The 19,465-nt window shown below is 44.5% G+C and overlaps 1 protein-coding gene and 1 long non-coding RNA gene across 5 annotated transcripts in view, besides 2 other annotated features; one reads left to right on the forward strand and one right to left on the reverse strand.

Annotated features, from left to right (window-relative positions):
• Positions 1 to 837, reverse strand: part of LOC102724687 (uncharacterized) — a 233,269-nt gene extending 232,432 nt beyond the window's left edge. For all 4 annotated transcript variants that reach the window (XR_929013.3, XR_007060949.1, XR_929012.3 and 1 more), the window contains exon 1: positions 755 to 837. This is a non-coding gene — a long non-coding RNA (uncharacterized LOC102724687). The remainder of the gene's footprint in view (positions 1 to 754) is intronic.
• Positions 809 to 1,228: a silencer, noted in NCBI's record as "silent region_19253". NCBI's record gives its function as "represses an Ori minimal core promoter by ATAC-STARR-seq in GM12878 lymphoblastoid cells {active_cell/tissue: GM12878}" and the evidence as "EXISTENCE:reporter gene assay evidence [ECO:0000049][PMID:35858748]".
• The window catches only part of ADHFE1 (alcohol dehydrogenase iron containing 1), a 36,404-nt gene continuing 17,913 nt past the window's right edge, over positions 975 to 19,465 (forward strand). Inside the window, exons 1-8 of the mRNA NM_144650.3 lie at positions 975 to 1,046; positions 8,633 to 8,670; positions 11,269 to 11,315; positions 12,838 to 12,891; positions 13,065 to 13,219; positions 13,689 to 13,885; positions 15,735 to 15,812; positions 17,336 to 17,441. Of these exons, the coding sequence (NP_653251.2) occupies positions 988 to 1,046; positions 8,633 to 8,670; positions 11,269 to 11,315; positions 12,838 to 12,891; positions 13,065 to 13,219; positions 13,689 to 13,885; positions 15,735 to 15,812; positions 17,336 to 17,441 (734 nt within the window). The 5' untranslated portion in view covers positions 975 to 987. The remainder of the gene's footprint in view (positions 1,047 to 8,632; positions 8,671 to 11,268; positions 11,316 to 12,837; positions 12,892 to 13,064; positions 13,220 to 13,688; positions 13,886 to 15,734; positions 15,813 to 17,335; positions 17,442 to 19,465) is intronic.
• Positions 14,340 to 14,989: an enhancer, noted in NCBI's record as "NANOG hESC enhancer chr8:67358104-67358753 (GRCh37/hg19 assembly coordinates)". NCBI's record gives its function as "activates a minimal SCP1, AML or CMV promoter by ChIP-STARR-seq in naive and primed H9 embryonic stem cells {active_cell/tissue: H9 hESC(naive and primed)}" and the evidence as "EXISTENCE:reporter gene assay evidence [ECO:0000049][PMID:30033119]".

The following is a 19,465-nucleotide window of genomic DNA, read 5'->3' on the forward strand; positions in this document are numbered from 1 at the left end:
GCTGTGGTGGCTTGCTGCACCTATCAACCCATCACCTAAGTATTAAGTCCCTCTGCCCCCTTCTATCCCCTGCCCCCAGGCCCCAATGTGTGTTGTTCCCCTCCCTGTGTACATGTGTTCTCATAGAACATTATTTTTTGATTCATTTGTCAAGTTGGCCTGAGCTGGTTTGATTAGGAGGTGAAATGTTTATATAGCTGTCCTTGGTCTTCCTGTCCATCAATCTTTTCCAGTTTGATCGCAGTAAATTCATTTCTGTAAAACTTAATATCTCCCATAAAGGATTCAGATTTCATAATAACAGATTACTAAAAATGCAAATGTTTAGTTGTTACTGTCTTTGGATACTTTCTGATAAAGTTGAGCTTTATCGTTAATCAGCTTTTCCACTGGGACATGGCAGATATGGCACAGCCAAGCCCTCCCGGAGCATAGTCTAATCATGGCAAGTTTTAACTATTGATGTAAGAGTTTTAACTATTGATTTTGCTTTCATCAAAAGCAAAGCCATTCACACAGTATTTAACAAAAACCCTCGGGCTCTGCTAGGTTCTTGTTTACTGTTAAAACAGTTTAAAGGCAGGGTCTTGATCACTTAAAATACTCTTAGAAGGGAAAGTAACATTTTAAAGGATTAACAGTGGAAAAAGAATATCCCTGTTCCTCTTCCTTCCCCCAAGTCCTCAACATGTGAAAAATAGAGTTGATAAGTAAGGAGATTTAAGGCAGAACCCGAGGCCTACGGAGCAGTTACCTTCTACGGCAATTTCAAGGGTGGATGGTGCGAGCGCCGCTGGGGCAGCTGGCGTTCTGGTTCTTACTCCGTGGGAAAATGGCCCTGAGCCCGACTGGCTTGAGGCTTAGACAGGTGACCCCGCGAAGCGGGTGGGCAGGCGCGGCCGAGGGGCGGGAGGCGGGCAGCCTCCGTGATTGGCCGGCGGAGGGGGCGGTGTAGCGACCCGAGGAGGGAAGAGGACTCCAAGCGCCATGGCCGCTGCCGCCCGAGCCCGGGTCGCGTACTTGCTGAGGCAACTGCAACGCGCAGCGTGAGTGCGGGGCCGGCGGGCGGGCAGGGGACCGCAGGGTGCCCACGCAGCCCCCTGGGTGTGACCCGCTCAGATCCTGCGCAGTCTTCTCCGCTTACTTTCAAGAATTCGGAGAATTTGGATACCGCCCTGGGCTCCCACCGCGCGCCAGGCGGAACAGCGAGGTCACAGAGTGCGCGATGCAGCCTCTCAGGGCGCAGTGAGGCAGCCTTTACTCTGCTTGTCTACCGTTAAAGAAACTGAGGCCCAGAGAGGACCTGGTCCCACATCGTAGCAGGCAGTGGAGAGCTTGGCACGGTGGCCAAGACAAATTCATGTATGCAATTGACACATATTTATTGGGCATATATTATGTGCCAAAAACTATTCTAGGTTCTGGGGATACAAAGATGAAAGGCTCTGGAGCAGTTTGAGGTCTAGTGGGGAATGGGATGAGGGGACGAGGCTAAAACCGGCTATAGCAGACTGGGTGTAGAAGGGAAGGATGGATGTGAGAAGTCGCAGAGTCACACTTCCTGGCATGTACAGGGAGTCAGGGTATTCAATGTCATGACACGCCTGCCTCCCAGCAGAAATGTGAGGTACATCCTGGTCACCTGATAAATACTTGCTGACTGTGCAAGTGCACAAGTCTGCCTGGGAAACATGGAAAAGTTTGAGCTCACAGGTGCAGATCAGTAGGAGGAAAGGCGAGGGACTGGCGAGGAACGTCAGGCAGAGAGAAGAGCAACACCAGCGATGGAGATGCAGTCCCAGGACACAAAAGACAAGTAGACCTACCTTTATAAGAGGAGGTAAAGATGGAGAAGACGGCTGATAAAAGACCATGAATAAGAATATAGCTAATACGATGAGCCCGGCAGTGTCTTACACACTTTGAATGGACTATCAGTATAATAGTAACTCTAATCCTTTCACTGACCCTATGACACACGGTATTGTCATCCTCATAGATACGGAAATAAAGGCATGGAGAAGAATTTGTCCAGTGTCACACAGCTAAGCAAATGGCACAGTCATAATTTGAACCCAGATACTCTGGCTTCACAGTCCTTGTTCTTAGGCCTGTAGTAAGGAATTTGAATTGTGTGCTGTAGATAATGGAAAGCCATTGAATAATATTTGTCACCATTAAACACTGATACCTTAAAATGTCCCATGACAAAAGAATTACATGGCCAAATAAGTTTGAGAAGCTCCTTACTGCTGTATTGCCCTCTTGGAGAATCAAAATATACATTAGACATGCAGGGCTCCAAGAAGCTACAAAAAATACTAAAGCTGTGTTCAAATTTTTGGTTGTAAACCTGTGTCATCATAGAACTCTTTGTCACACAACACCATTTATATCCCATGGAATCAGTGTCACACACAGAATATGTTTTTGGAATGGTTGCATGAAAAGGGAGTATGGCATAATCAGAACTGTGTTAGCACATTCTGGTGGAAATGTGGAGTGAAGAGGAAGGACTAGAGGTCATTGTCCTGCTCCAGCCTGAAGATAATGGCTTCATGCACGGAGAGGCAGTTCCTTGGGTAGATAGAAATGCTGAGAGGTTGGTTAGAATCCACAGGATTTTGTATCTGAATAGTGAAGAGTTGAGATTTCTGGCTTGGGCATCAAGTAAACAGTGGGCTCATTTACCAAGGCAGGGATTGTAGGAGAGTTAGTGTTAGGAGGAAAATGGCAACTTCAGTCTAGGGCATTTTGAGTTGAGCATGCTTCTGGTACATTCAGATGGAGACCCCAGTAGGTGATTGAATGTATTGTTCTGGGGCTCAAGAGTGAGTTGGGAACACATCCATCCATGCGTATGGAGGACAGTTGAAGCCCTAACAAAACTCTAACCTAGAAGGAAACAGCTGAGGGTGAATTCCTGGGGAGCAGCACTGCCACAGCAGGAGTAGCAAGATGGTGCTTTCTTCTGCACATGCTTATTATTCTAATAGGGTAAACATTTTAAAAGTGGGAGATTTCCAATGAAAATCTTGGAAAATTGGAAAATGGCATCATTGGGCACATGTTTCATCTGGGCAAAGTGGGCTAGGGCACGGGGTGATGTGTGGCCATTTCTATTGGACAGAGCATGCACTCTGGGCTTCTGCCCAACACATTCCATAGAGCAACTGCGCTGACAACTGAATGGAGGGGAAAGAATCAGCACTGAAGGAGACAGAGGCAAGGCGTGCACTGGCCAGAGAGGTTGTGGGAAGGCCCTGGAGGGCAAGAGTCACATTCCGTCTCCAGATGTGCAGCCCTGCACAGGGTGGTGGGTGCCCATAGTCCCAGCTACTCAGGAGGCTGAGGCAGGAGAATCACTTGAATCTGGGAGGCATAGTTTGCAGTGAGCAGAGATCAGGCCACTTCACTCCAGCCTGGGCTACAGAGCAAGACTGTGTCTCAAAAAAAAAAAAAAGATGTGCAATGCAGCCCTGCTTTGACTGTGTTATCTCTGGGGTACAGCAGGGAACAAAACAACCTAACCACACCATGCATGGGGCACAGGGGATAGATGACAAACTAGTTAGTAAAATTGAGAGTACATTAGCTGTTGAAAGTTATTACAGAGAACATAAAGGAGGCTGGGATGTTGAAGGAAGGGATGCAATTTTTGAGGTGTTCAGAGCAGCCCTCACTATGTTAGTTTCCTACAGCTGTTGTAACAAACTACCATGAACCTGGTGGCTTAACACACATTTGTCTTAACAGTTCCAGAGGTCAAAAGTCTGAAATGAGTTTTACTAGGCTGAAGCCAAGGTGTGAGCAGGGCCACACTCCCTCTTGAGTAAGGCTCAGAGGTGCTGCAGAATCCACTTACTTGCTTTTTTCCAGCTTCTAGAGCTCTACCTTCGGTTCCTTAGCTTGTGGCCCCTTCCTCCATCTTCACAGCTGGCACTCATCTTGCTTCAGTGCTCACATTTCTGTCTTTTGGGTCAAATCTCCCTCTGCCTCCCTTTTATAAGGCTATGAGTGATTGCATTTAGGGCCCACACAGATCATCCAGAATAATCTCCTCATTTCAAGATTTTTTTTTTTTTTTTTTTTTTTTTTTTTGAGACAGAGTCTTGCTGTCACTTAGGCTGGAGTGCAGTGATGTGATCACGGCTCACTGCAATCTCGAATTTCTGGCCTCCTCAAAGATCCTCCCACCTTAGCGTCCCAAGTAGCTGGGACTACAGTGCACAACATCATGCGCAGCTGATTTTATTTTTTGTAGAGATGGAGTCTCACTATGTTGCCCCAGCTGTTCTTGAACTCCTGGCCCCAAGCAGTCTTCCCATCTTGGCCTCCCAAAGTGCTAGGATTATAGGTATGCGCCACAACACCTAGCAAGATTCTTTTTTTTTTTTTTTTTTTGAGATGGAGTCTCGCTCTGTCGCCCAGGCTGGAGTACAGTGGTGTGATCTCGGCTCACTGCAACCTCCACCTCCTGGGTTCGAGCGATTCTTCTGCCTCAGCCTGCTGAGTAGCTGGGATTACAGGCACACACCACCACACCTGGCTAATTTTTGTATTTTTAGTAGAGATGGGGTTTTGCCATGTTAGCCAGGCTGGTCTTGAACTCCTGACCTCAGGTGATCCACCAGCCTCAGCCTCCCCAAAGTGCTGGGATTACAGGTGTGAACCACTGTGCCCAGCCAGGATTCTTAATCATATCTGCAAAGTTCCTCTTACTATGTAGGGTAACATTCACAGATTCCCAGGATTAGAACCTTATCTTCAGGAGCGATTACTCAACTCAGTGATTACTCACTGAGAAGGTAATGGTTGCGGAAAGACCAGTGGATGCAGAGAGCAAACCCTGTGGCCTTCAGGGAAGGTATGCAGAGGTGAAGCATACCTGGGTATGGAACAGAGTGAATAAGGGGGAGATGGGAGTGTGGGGCCAAGGGTGACCCCAAGATTCTCCGGCACGAACAACTGGAAGGATGAAATTGCCATTAGATGGGGATGGGGAAGGCTGTGGGAAGAGCAGGCTTGAGAGAACACCAGGAGCTCAGTCTCCCATAGGGAAAATGTTGCCACTTCATAGACATCCAAGCAGAGATGCCAAGTGGGCAGGTGAACCTGGACTTCGGGAGAGATGCCCAAGCCAGAAAGATAAATGTGGAAGTCATCAGCATCAAAGGTATTTGAGACCATGAGACCAGGGGAGGTCACTAAGGGACTGAGTGTGGAAAGAAAAGAAAAAGTTCCAGGACTGACCCCTGAGCCGTCCAGGGTCAGGAGTCAAAATCATGAAAAGCAATGAAAAGAAATGAAGCCAAGAGCAGCCAGTGCGATGAGAAGAAAACTGAGTGGTGCCCTGGAAGCCAGGGAAGAACATGTTTCCAGGAAGGAGGGAGTGAACAGGAGGATGCCGCTGACACATCGGGTACCGTGAAGACAGAACTGAACTGAGCAGGCTGGTTAGCTAGTGGAGGGCATTAGTGAGCTGGGAAGCTGGTCAGTTGAGTCGGGGTAAAAGCTGATGGCAGGAGGTTCCAGAGGGAATGGGAGAAGATAAATCGGAAGAATGGCTATAGCCCGCTGAAGGGAAGGAGAGAGGTAGAAGTGGGAGTGGGAGAGGAAAGAGGAACAAGAGGTTTCTGGTTTTGTTATGTAAGATGGAGGAAATGTGCTTATGAATAAGCTAAAAAAATGCTGGTGGCTGATGGATAATGTCTAATAGGGAGGGGGATTTTGATGATTTAGGGGACAGAAGGGAGAGCTGCTGGCAGTCCTTGAGTAGATGAGAGGGGCTGCGATTTAGGGAATGCAAGACAGATTGGGTTTTGCTGAGAGTGTGGCTAAGAGGTAATCAGTGATGTCAGCAAGGAAGCCAGAATAAGGGGGCCAGAGCCAGGAGGGCAGGTAGATGAGGTCCTGCTCTCCCCAAGCCTCACTCTGCTTCTCTGAAGGAGCCCAAAGAAGCCCATCAGTGCCTTCAGGCCATCCTAAGAAGGCGGGAACCCACAGCCTGCCCCCACCCCCCTCCCCCAGGCCCTCTGTCTTGGCATGCCAGGAAAAGAGAAGAGAGGGTCAGGGGAATGAAAATGTCTACATTCACTTATTTATTCATTTACTCGCTCATTTAATCAGTACAAAAGGCTTACTTTATGCCTGGCACTTACTTGGTGCTAGCCACAGGGGATAAAGTTGTGAGAAACAGTAGATCCTGCCTGGGCATCACTAAATTCACAGTCCACAGGCAGAAAGAAGCAGAAAAACAGCACCAGTGTGGTACGTTTTAACACGGAGGGAGGCTCCAGAAAGGGTGTCTCTCTGCAGCCTCGGGCCTCAGGGAAGGCTGCCCAGGGGAACTGACAGGAAAGAACAAAAGTTATCCAGAAGAAGAGGCAAGGAAAGTATGTTACAGGCAGAGGAAATAATAACGGCAAAGTTCTGGAGGAGAGAGAGAGACTGTGGCTCATTCAAGGAAAAGAAAGATGTTAATTTTTCCGGGAGCCCAAACCCAGAGATGGAGTGAGTTGAGGGGCCAGTCAGGCAGGGGCAGGCCTGAACTGTATGTGAGAGCCATGGGGAGCCATTGAAGCAGCTTTCAACAAGGGAGTGACATCATTGGAAATATGCCCCGACTACAGTGTGGGGAATAGAGGTGGCAGAGGTGGAGCCACGAGAAGCCAGTTGGGAATTTGGTAGTCATACACATGAGAGGTGATACTGGAACCAGAGAGTAGCAGGTTCCCAGGAAAACTGGGTGGGCTTGAGTGGAGACATGTTTGAGGCCTTGGTGCATAATGAGCTCTAAAGGGTGAGGGAGGAGGAAGGGTCAGAATGGCTGAAGGCAGCCCAGGACAGAAATGAACATTTAAGGAATGGGCAGAGTGGAAAAGGAGCCAGTAAAAGAACAATTAGAGGAAGCCCAGACAAGTAGGGGTCCTGGGAGCCAGGAAAAAGTTCCACCTGCCCAAAAAGGTGTGGCCACGCGTTTCATGCTGCTAGAGTGAGGTGCTACGAGGTCTGAGAAGTGAGGACACAGCCAGACAGCTGGACTTGCAGACACAGCAGCCTGATTTCAGGGGCCAAAGAATGTGTCCGAGACCCAGAAACGAAGCCAGCAAATGTAGGTCGGGAGGAGAGAGAGGGAGAGTGAGCCCGCCAGAGGGGGTAGGAGGTGGAAAAGTTTCAGGCGCAAAACTCTTCAATAGGCTGAAAAAGATTGAGTGAGGGGGAGGACTAGGAAATACAGGACAGGTAGAGGTCCCGAGAAAGCAAGAGGGGACAGGATACAAACCACAAGTAAGAAGTAGAAATAATGAATTGAGATAGCCTCAGAGCTTGGGGAAGAAAAAAAAAAGGTGGCGGGGGGTGTAGGGAGGAAGCAAGGGTTCCCAGGAGCGTTCACGTTGGAAAGTTTTGAGTTTGGATTTTTTTTTCCTTCCCTTGGCTCACTTTTCTTGTCATTAGAGGGCATAAAGCAGGGAAAGTCTTCCAACCAAAGCCCACCGTGAAGGGACAAGCCTGGCCTGGCCCGCGTCCTCTCCCCCGGCGCGCGCGTCGGGAACCACTAGATGGCAGCCGCGACTCGCGCCAGCTCTCACTCGCCCCCGCGTCTGCTTTGACTTCGCAGTTCGAATTTTTGAGATCTGGACGGCCACTGAGATCAACCCTTTTCCTTCCTCCCCAACCTTCCCCCTCGGGTGTTTTAATTCCAGATTTGAATTTTTGGCGGGGAGAAGGAAGTGATGCACTCAAGTATCTACCGAGACCCAACCACTGGACAAGGTCTTCTGGGCAACCCAACGAAACATAAAACCGTCTTCCCAGCCTCGATCAGAGAGCGAGCAGGAGAAAGAGAAGCCAGAGGAGAGACTGGGACTGTCCAGGAAATAGGAGACGACCAGGACAGGAAGAGGGACCACAGCCAGGGGAGGGAGGGTTTCCAAAAAGGAGGACGTGGGAAATCTGTAGAGAAGTCGACCGAGAAGTGAGATGCGGTGGCGACCTCGGAGCGCACCGGGTGTGCGCGCAGCTGGGGCCTCTGGGGAGCGGCGCGGCGGGGACGGAGGAGAGCTCGGAGCCCGGGGCTGCAACTGGGCAGAGAAAGATGGGGACCAGGGAGGTCTTTGGGTCCAGGAAGTTCTCCTGGAGGCTCAGGTCTAGAGCCTGCCTGAAGAAAAATTAGACATCTTGAAGACACTGGGAAATATATAAGGCAAGTTCCCAGCATAGGGTAGTAAGTAAGAAGAGGCACACAGAGTTAACCTTGGGCCGATTTGGTCAACGCTCCTAACCCAGTAAGAGCTGGGGCTTCATGGAGACCAGAGACCCCCATCTTAAACTTGCATGTACCCCCAGAGCGTTTATCTCAGCTGCCCGCAGGCATTTGATAGGAATTGCTAGAGTAAATGAATTCGTGAAAGAATGATGCTACAGCGCTGGGAAGACGCTGAGTCAACTTTTTGTCCATCGTGATTTCTGGGTCTATATATATTTTTTCTATTGTACAGTGTCTGCCAAGAACTACCAATTTGATAGCATCTTAGCACTAGACTGCAATGTGAGTTAGCTTAAGGCTTTTCATTTTTTGGTCTCTATTTTCACCTTAGGTTTTTTTTGCTGTCGTTTTTATTTTCCCTAGGTGCCAGTGCCCAACTCATTCTCATACTTACTCCCAAGGTAATACTTCTGTATTTTTAAACTAGCCACAATTTTGGTTTCTGCATTTGGCATTATAATACATTTGGGTAGTGTATGTAAAGAAAACCAAGGCATGTGAGAGCAAGGTCCATGAAAACAGTTACCATTTCACTGTGAAATTGATAACACGTAACTCTATACAAAGTTAGCTGAATGTATACTACTAATCACGTGTTTGTTTGTCTCAAATATCTATTTAATGCTACTTACAACGCTTTTCTCTTTTAATTACTTGCCAAGTCTAAAAATGCACAGATAGGATTTTAAGAATGTCTGAGTTTGTCAAACAGAATTAATCAAGATGAAGTCTTTGGAAGGTTCTAAGACATCTCTAAAAACTGGAGGCTAAAGAACAAGAACAAGGTGGTTCCTAGAAAGAAAAACAAAACTTGTTTGTATCAGTCTTTAAAATAATATTGTATTTAAAATAATATTGTATTTCCTAATACTTAAAAATAATAACAAACCTTCAGTTACCACAACATCTTAGTCATTACCAAACACCAAACACTGTGGTCCACAGAGCAGCAGGAAACTCAACATAGTTTCAGCATGTCCTAAGAATGTCACATGGATTACTGACACAACCACTGATTTTGTCTCTTCTAAGGTCAGATCTAAACATTAAGGCAAGAGTTGGAAAGGAAAGAGGCTGACCATCCAGGATCCTAAGCAGAAACCCACAGAGAAGCCTGTTGGGGAGTTAGAACAGAGAGAGTAACTCGCCAAGGGCTTTCTCTTGCCCAAGGAGTGACTCACCCTTCAGGACAAGCCAAGGGACCTCCCTGTCCATCATTAACTGTCATCTATGAGACAGAAACATATCCAACCTTTAAGGCCCTTCTGAACATATACAGAATTTTGTCTTCAGCTGATTTTCTCGAATTCTTAGTTGGTTTCAACAATTAGTTAATTTCCTATTTGAGGGAATAAAATTAATAATTTACAGAAAGATATTCTCATTGTTTTCCAGGATCATATTTATGTCTTTAAAATTTAGTAACAGAAATATTAGATTTTTATATACAGAGAGAGAGACAGGGTCACCCTCTGTCACCCAGGCTGGAGTACAGCGGTACAGTCGTAGCTCACTGTACCCTCAAACTCCTGGGCTATCCTACCACCTCAGCCTCCCACGATGTTGGGATTATAGGCTTGAGCCCCTGCACCGGGACAGATTATTTTTTTTAAGCCTAGAGGAATCCAATAAGTTTGAGTTTTGGTTAAGGATGCCTTTGCACTCAGGGAGCTGAAGGTAGATTGTTGTCCACTTCTGATCTATTTTCCTTAAAAAAGAAAAAGCATAATGAAAATTGTTCTGTAGACTTTATCGTATGACTGACCAGTATTGATATAAATAAGTATTGATAAAAACAAGGATAAAAATCTTTAATTAGGTCCCTTTCATTGTTCCAATATGACAGAAAATCATTTTTACCATAATTAAAACCTAATCCTTTGCAAGGAAATAGCACCTTATAAAAATGTTTATTAGGCCGGGCACGGTGGCTCACACCCATAATCCTAGGACTTTCGGAGGCCGGGGTGGGTGGATCACGAGGTCAGCATTGTGAAACCCCGTCCCTACTAAAAATACAAAAATTAGCCAGGCATGGTGGTACACGCCTGTAGTCCCAGCTGCTAGGAAGGCTGAGGCAGAAGAATCCCTTGAACCTGGGAGGCGGAGGTTGCAGTGAGCCGAGATCCCACCACTGCACTCTAGCCTGGGTGACAGAGCAAAACTCCATCTCAAAAAAAAAAAAAGGTTTATTAAATTTCACCAAGATAAATAAGCTTTTTATATGCATAAGCTTGAGAAATGTAAATATCTTACTGTGATAAGTTATCCCTATGAATTAAAAAAAACAATTCAAACAAGTTATCACAGTTGCTATAAGAAGTGTAAGCAAGCCTCTAATTCATGAACTTACTAATAGTTGTTCTGTAATAGTAACCCAACTCTAAACCAGGGGATTTTTTTCCTAGAGGATTGTTACACATTAGATTTTCAAACACATATTTTAAATATAATGCAAGAAATGTTTTATTATTTTCACAAATTAGGCTCAAGTTAGCATTACATTCTATCTTTTTTTTTTTTTTTTTTTGAGACGGGGTCTCACTCTGTTGTCCAGGCTGGAGTGCAGTGGCGCGATCTCGGCTCACTGCAAGCTCCACCTCCCAGGTTCACACCATTCTCCTGCCTCAGCCTCCCGAGTAGCTCGGACTACAGGCGCTCGCCACCACACCTGGCTAATTTTTTTGTATTTTTAGTAGAGACAGGGTTCTACCATGTTAGCCAGGATGATCTCGATCTCCTGACCTCGTGATCCACCCGCCTCAGCCTCCCAAAGTGCTGGGATTACAGGTGTGAGCCACTGTGCTTGGCCGCATTACATTCTATCTTAAAATACAGGTATTGATTTTAATTTGATGTGCAACAGTGAAACCTGGAAAAAATATATTTTTGGTAAGACTTCAAAGGAAATACTTATGTTCACTGCTGGATTTTACTATCAAATAACATTTATGCTTTTTTTTAAAGACCCACTTTGATGCTAACTTTTACATTTCTAGCCCCTGGACTTTCACCTTCTGGGAAAACAACAGATTATGCCTTTGAGGTATATTCACTCAATCCATTATTTCTTTTATGAATGACTAGAAAAAAATAAAACTAGAATATTTTGCTAATGAATTATTATTTTATTTTAAATCTGTTATTAATTCACATTCCATAATCTCTATTTGATCAGACCATATTTAGCAAAGTACCTGGTTGGTATAATGGAATATAAACCTTCTGAGATCATGGCTAATGTCTAGAGTGCTGTCTTTGTAGAGTCACTAAAATAGGATAAATTCCCAATTCTACAAATTCTCCAGTACATATATGTTATGTGTTAAATCTTTAGTTTTTTAATTATAACAATCCCAAAAGAGGTCAAAGTAAAGTAACAATTCTGGTGTATTTTTATCACACTGTAATTACATAATTACTTATAATTATTTGTTTAAGTCCCTGTCTCCTCCTAGTCCAGGAATTTTTTTTTTTTTTTTTTTTTTTTTTTTTTTTGGAGACAGCCTCACTCTGTCACCCAGACTGGAGTGCAGTGGTGTGATCTCAGCTCACTACAACCTCCGCCTCCTGAGTTCAAGCGATTCTCCTGCCTCAGCCTTCTGAGTAGCTGGGATTACAGGTGCACACCACCACACCCAGCTAATTTTTGTATTTTTAGTAGAGACAGGGTTTTGCCATGTTGGCCAGGCTGGTCTCGAACTCCTGACCTCAGGTGATCTGACCACCTCGGCCTCCCAAAGTGCCAGGATTACAGGCATAAGCCACCGCGCCTGCCTTCAGGAATGACTAATTAAAATGTCACCGGGGGCCTGACAGTTAACCAAGAGATGACCAGGCTGGGTGATGCCATGGTGAGCTCACTGAAGGCACAGGCCCCATCTAAGGTGTGACTCCACTCAACCTTATAAGATCACTGCCATATGGGAATGCATTCCCAGTTTGCTGGATTATTCAAGAGAAAGTGAAATTCAGATGGTCTTATTAAATTTTTTATCCTGATTTTTAAGCATTATTAGTCAATTCAAAAAAAAAAAGAAATTTAAACATAACACAGATCAAATAAAATATATTTCAGGCGAAACATGACCCATCATCCATCAGTGTAAAAGCCTTTCTCTCACCCGTAAACTTTATGAGGCCCTGTGTCTCTTATTCATAGTTGAGTTACCAGAGCCTACACAGTGCCTCGAACATAGAAGACAGTAGCATTGACTGGGTGGCAGGTATGCAAGGGTGGGTGGATGAATGGAAAGTAAGACATTTGAGAGTTATTTTACAGGTGGAGTTGGAAGAAGGTAGGCATTTGAAGCTAAGGGAACAGTTGAGAGTTTATGATGTGTTTGGGAAAAGACAAGTCATTCAAATGACAGGAGCTGAAGTTTGCTTAAGGAAGTGTGGTGCGTCCACACTTCTTTAAGTGAGACCAGGTGGGAGATGACCTGGAAGACCATGCTAAGGAGTGTATACTTTATGCTCTAGGCAACAAGAAACCATTTCAGGTTTTTAGAAATGGACTGGCCAACTCTCAAATACTCCCTACACCTAAACCTTTTTATTTTTTTCAGATGGCTGTTTCAAATATTAGATATGGAGCAGCAGTTACAAAGGAAGTAGGAATGGCAAGTATTCGAGATGTCTACGGTCTCCTACTGTAAATGTTACATATCTCACAAGACCATGCTAAATGACAACAATCACATCCTCTATTTTTAAAAATGTACAACGTGAGTTTGCCAGAAGAGTCTATTGCAGTTCTAGTGGAGTTGAACCTAACTTATAGGTTTTCTTGTAGGACCTAAAAAACATGGGTGCTAAAAATGTGTGCTTGATGACAGACAAGAACCTCTCCAAGCTCCCTCCTGTGCAAGTAGCTATGGATTCCCTAGTGAAGAATGGCATCCCCTTTACGGTTTATGATAATGTGAGAGTGGAACCAACGGATTCAAGGTATTCTTGTATTGTTGTTATTGTTTCTTTACTTTAAGCAGAAGCTAACTGTTGATTAAAACTTGCCCCCAACCAGGCGTGGTGGCTCACGCCTGTAATCCCAGCACTTTGGGAGGCTGAGGCAGGCAGATTGCTTGAGGTCAGGAGTTCGAGACCAGTATGGCCAACATGGTGAAACACTGTCTCTACTAAAAATACAAAAATTAGCCAGTCATGGTGGCAGGCACCTGTAATCCCAGCTACTTGGGAAGCTGAGGTGGGAGAATCGCTTGAACCCAAGAGACATAGGTTGCAGTGAGCGGAGATCGTGCTACTGCACTGCAGCCTGGGCAACAGAATGAGACTCCGTCTCAAAAAAAAAACAAAAACAAAAAAAACCCCACAAAACTTACCCCAAGCCTTAGTTAATGGCATGGCAATTTATTTCTGAAAAATATAACATACTGGTTTTTATTTTCTCTTCTCCAAGCTTCATGGAAGCTATTGAGTTTGCCCAAAAGGGAGCTTTTGATGCCTATGTTGCTGTCGGTGGTGGCTCTACCATGGACACCTGTAAGGCTGCTAATCTGTATGCATCCAGCCCTCATTCTGATTTCCTAGATTATGTCAGTGCCCCCATTGGCAAGGGAAAGCCTGTGTCTGTGCCTCTTAAGCCTCTGATTGCAGGTAAAGACTGTTTATTTCTTTGTTTGTTTTATTTTGCAATGAGCAATAGATCTTAAGAAAGATGCAAGCCAGTCCTTTTAACATACACATTTCGAAAGCTTTCTGGTTTGTTCATTTCAAATCAATGCCTTGTTTGGAGAACAATCATTCATTTTAAAATTCTGATCTTCATTATTGTATAGATAAAGACAATTGGGGTCAGTGGAAGGAAAGTTTGCAGATTTAAGCTATGGGGTCACCATGTGGAAAAGGGGGAAGGTCATCACTGACATATGATGAGATCCCTCTGTCAGCAGCTTTGTCCTTTAAACTGCTCTCTGTTTTGTCCCATTTTGCCAGCCACTGTAGAGTTTAAGGAGAACATTAGCTGTTATTTTTCTGGTGTTGACTCAACCTTTTCTTCTACATAATGGCTCTTCAGCTGACCTCAGGCTTTGTCTCTTCCCTGGGACATGTGGCCAGCATGGCCCATCATGCTGGGTGACATCTGCTCTGTGGCTACCCAGGGCACAGACGTACAAATCCAAATCAGAATAGCTCATTTGTTCCACAGGGGACCTTGAGATTTTCTAGTCTTTTCTTCTCTGCCATTTTTATGGATGCTAGCATATTACTATTTAAAGTTTTATAGCTAACATGCACTAACTGGTAACTGGGACATATCCTCAGTTTAAAGTTTTGCCCTTTCTTCTCCCCTCTCCTGCCCTATTGTGAAGAGGCCTTGTGATGGGATGTGAGTAAGTCGATGGCAGATGAACTGCTGTGTTGTGAATGAGGGATCAGCAGGGAGCAGCATAATTGGTGTCTGGCAAATGGAACCCTCTGGTGAAACTGTGTCAGCATCACACAGAGGGGTGATTAGTAAAGTTTAGAAACTTGACAGAACCACAAAACCACGGAGCCCAGCAAAGGCAGAGCGTCACTGTGCTTGCTGCCAAGAGGGAATAAAGATGTCTTTTAGAGACAGCAAATATGAGTTTTGTTACCAGAGGTGCTGGGCAGCCTGCATTGACCCAGCTGCAGCTGCTTAAGCTCTGGCCCCCAAGGAGCCTGAGGTTCCCAGAGCTCACTGCTATTAATACAGCACAGTCATCACACACGTGCATGATTAACATACATACATGTTAACAAAGACACAGAAGTCATACATGCATGTTAACACAGGTACAGAGATCACATGCACATTAAACACACATGTATGTTAATACAGACAGACACCATATATATTAACGCTCATATTTATGCAGAAGCAGGCAATATGCATATTAAACATGACCATGTTAATGCAGACACATACATGCATATTAAACACACATGCATGCTAAACATGCACGTATGTTAATGCAGACATGGACATCATACATGCATGCTAACACATACAGAGGTCACACATACATATTAAATATACATACATATTAATACAGACACAGACATTATGCATATTAAACAACATAAACATTCATCCAGCAGTCATGATACATGTCAAACATGCAAGTGCATTAATTCAGGCATAGACATCAATGTACATGCTAAACATACATGCATGCCAATATAGATACAGACCTCATGCATGCCTGTTAATGCAGATACAGACATCATACACATTGGACTTACATGCATGATAACACAGACACTGACATCCTCCATGTTAGATTACATACATATTAATGCAGACACGGACATCATACATGTTAGGTTTCCATACATGTTAATTCATATATATCATGCAAACAAGAGGGTCAGCAAAGTTTCCTTCTCTAATTTTGTTCCTCAGTCCTAAGGCTGAATTAGGTATCTCCACTAACCTTTATTTAGATGCTTTATTAAAATTAATATTATTTTGTTCAAGTGCCAACTACCTCAGGAACCGGGAGTGAAACTACTGGGGTTGCCATTTTTGACTATGAACACTTGAAAGTAAAAATTGGTAAGAACCATACTTTTGAATTATCTCCCTTACCTTTCAACTCCACACTCTTCTTTAAATCCTAATATTTAAAAATCAAGCAGTTATGATACAGTTAGAATAAGCCCCAATATTCTATAGAAGAGCAAGGTGACGAAAGTCAGCAACAAAGTATTGTATATTTCAGAGTAGCTAGAAGAGAGGACTTGAAATATTCCCAAAAAGTACTCAGAGTGATGGATACCCCACAGAGCCTGACTTGATCATCACACTTTCTATGTATGTAACCAATACTCACATGTACCCTGTAAATATGTTAAATATTTTGTATCAAGTTTAAAAAGAAAGGAAAAAATCAAGGAGCCAAGGAAAGGGTTTGTATATATACACATTTTCTTTCCTTTTCCAAGTACATATAAAAATATGAAACAATGTAATAAACTTCTTGAGAATTACTGCTGAAAGCATATTGAAATGCCATGAATCTTAATTGGCCATTCTCTGCCCAAGTTACTGACTGTATACCAATGATAAATGGCTGTTTCCTTTCTCTGACATATTTTTTACATTTTAAATCAATTTTATTGAGATATGACTTTTGTATAATAAAATGCACACATTTTAAGAATCTGGTTTGATGAGCCTTGACAAACATATATGCTCATGTAACCACCACCCCAATCAAGATACAAAACATTCCCACCACTCCAGAAAGTTTCCTCATGCTCCGTCCCAGCCAATCCCTCCAGTCCTTTTCCCAGGTAACCTCTGTTCTGCTTTCTGTCTTCTTAGTCATTTTTATGCCGTCTTCTCTGTCTCAGACTCTTGGCTAATGCGGTAGAAATGTCTCTCTTTTTAGTCTGGCTCAATATCCTGCTTTCAGATCTTCGTAGCAGAATAAATTGACATTTAACTGCACACTTTTAGTAACTTTTCTTTTTAAAATTAAATTGCACTATCCTTTGACATTTCTTAAGTTGATGATAATAATGGCCAACACTTACATTCTACCTTACAGTTTCTAAAGACTTTTACCTAATATTCTCTCATTTGATCCCTACAACAGCTCAATGAGAGCTGGAGGCCCTGTGCTATTATTATAGTCTAATCTTACAGAGAACTCAGAGAGGCTAAGTGACTTGCCCAAAGACACAAAGTAAGTTGCAGAGCGAGGACCAGTGGTGTGCTAGTAAACTGGCTCTCTGGCATTTAATAATAAACAAGTAAGCCCTGACTTGTAGTGTTGGCCCATTTCTGTGGTGTAAATACTCTCACCATGGCCAGTGACATCACTCATCCAGGAGTAGGAAAGAGATGCATACACATGGCCCTTGGAAACCAGTAGGAGCCAGCTCCAACACACCACTGAAAACCCCAGGTTTCTGACTCTAAATCACTTTCCATTGCTCCTTACTGCCTCACTACATGAAAATGAACCTTTTCTCATATTTTTATTTTTAGGGTGATTTATTATCCTGAAGTCATTTTTCTTCTTAAAATGATGCCCATGGCTTTAGCCTCTACTGAAAATCCTTATGTTTTAGGCATCACTTCGAGAGCCATCAAACCCACACTGGGACTGATTGATCCTCTGCACACCCTCCACATGCCTGCCCGAGTGGTCGCCAACAGTGGCTTTGATGTGCTTTGGTAAGTGCTGGTGCCTCCTGGAGGGGCTTTTTTAGTACTGGGTCTATGGATAGTATTTTGTTGCTCAACGCACATGCTAAGTATTCATTGATTAGCACCCCACAACATCCCTAGCTTTGGCTGTCATTACCCCCTGTCCTAAATCAAACATTCAAGCTTTAGAGGTTGGTGACTAGGTGACATCTGGTGTGGGCCACAAACCTGCTCTTCAGGATGGATCCCCCCCAGCCACAGCCAGGGACATAGGGATGCCGCTAAAGGGGCAGTTGGAGCTGGTGTGCAGCATCTCAGGGGATAAAGGGGCAGTTGGAGCTGGTGTGCAGCATCTCAGGGGATAAAGGGGCAGTTGGAGCTGGTGTGCAGCATCTCAGGGACACACCAGCTACCTTTATGGCCTCACTAACTAGGCAATGCCCAAGGCTTCATGTCATGGAAGAGGGCAGGGAACAGAGCTAACACCTCCAGAGCACCCCCAGACCATGCACATTGTGTTAGCACCTCACATACATCACTTCACTGCAGTTCTGTGTGATACAGGACCTTTGTTTTATTGAACAAGAAAACTGGGTTTGAGATGTTTAGTGACTTGCCCATAGTCTTACTGTATGTTCCCTCGGCTTCAGCTGCTTTGTGCCGATGGCCCCCTAATCAGTATTTCTATCACAGACCTTGCTCCTGAGCTCCAGGCCTCATGGAGACCCCACAGGCACTTCACATTCAGCATGTGCCAAATGACCCTTGTTCATCTATGTGCACATGCACATTTTTTTCACATTTTAACACCTCTGAAATCAGGACATAACTTAAAATCTGTGGCATCACAGTATGTTTTCATCCTCCGTGGTACCTATTTTAAAAACGGTGCAGGCTGGGCACAGTGGCTCACGCCTGTATTCCCAGCACTTTGGGAGGCCAAGGTAGGAGGATCACTTGAGGCCAGGAGTTTGAGACCAGCCTGGGCAACAAAGTGACACCTCATCTCCACAAAAAAAAGTTTTACAAATTAGTCAAGCATGGTGGCACATGCCTGCACATCCCTGTACAGTGACTGTCACATCCTAGGTACTTGTATACTGCTAGTTCACACAAGCAGGAGGTGACAGAGTTAGAACTCACATCCAGGTCCCCCAGGGCCATGGTCTGCTTCCCTCACTATGTTATGCTGCCTGCCAAGAGACTGTAGAAAATTGTGTCTAACTCCATTCTGGTCAATATTGTCAGAACTTTGATGAGCTGTTCCCTAATAACCTGGAAATGAGGGGAATAAGGTTATCCTTCCTAACTGTAAAGTACATAGTAAATACATCATGACCCAAAGCAGCCACCCTTAAGTGGGTGACTCACAGGCCCAAAGGCTTCACTGTCAATCAAAGTGGGGAGTGGGCTCAGAAGGCAGGAGAATAATGGCAGTTGCTCTTTCAAGTACTGCCCAAGGGAAAGAACACCTGGCCTGAGGAATCTGCCCATAAGGCCCAGTGGCCTGTTCTGAAGGTGGACAAGCCATGTATTAAATCTTCGAGGTAACTCCCCTCATTAGGACTCCATGGACTTCTGGTCATAAAGTGGCCATCCTAGGGCTTGACTGTAGGGAGAGAAGGTGCCATCGGGAAGACTCTGATGTCTGCTTAGCAGTTATATTTCTTGTCATAAAGCATTAAACTGACTTCCAGGCTTTACACATAGTTTCTGTGAGCTTAGCTCAGTGAGTCCACCCCTGAGAAACAAATCTGCACTTGGATCTGGGATCTGATGCAGTCTAAATGTGCTGCAAGGCAGAGGTCACACTCTGACTACAGTGGCCTCACCGGCCACCCCAACTTCCCCATGTGGACACCTCATTCTTGCATTATTCACACATTCCCCGCTTAGAACCACAAAGCCTTCATATCCATCTACAAACTAATTTCCAAAACAATTTTCTAATGATTGGTCCAAAAAATATTATCTGCTTCTCATATGTAGAAGAGAGTAATTCCTCCATTCTAGGGAAAACGAAAACTGTAATTCATGCAAAACATGGGGTC

The sequence above is a fragment of the Homo sapiens genome, chromosome 8 (assembly GCF_000001405.40).
Source record: "Homo sapiens chromosome 8, GRCh38.p14 Primary Assembly".
In the NCBI taxonomy this organism is placed as follows: domain Eukaryota; kingdom Metazoa; phylum Chordata; class Mammalia; order Primates; family Hominidae; genus Homo; species Homo sapiens.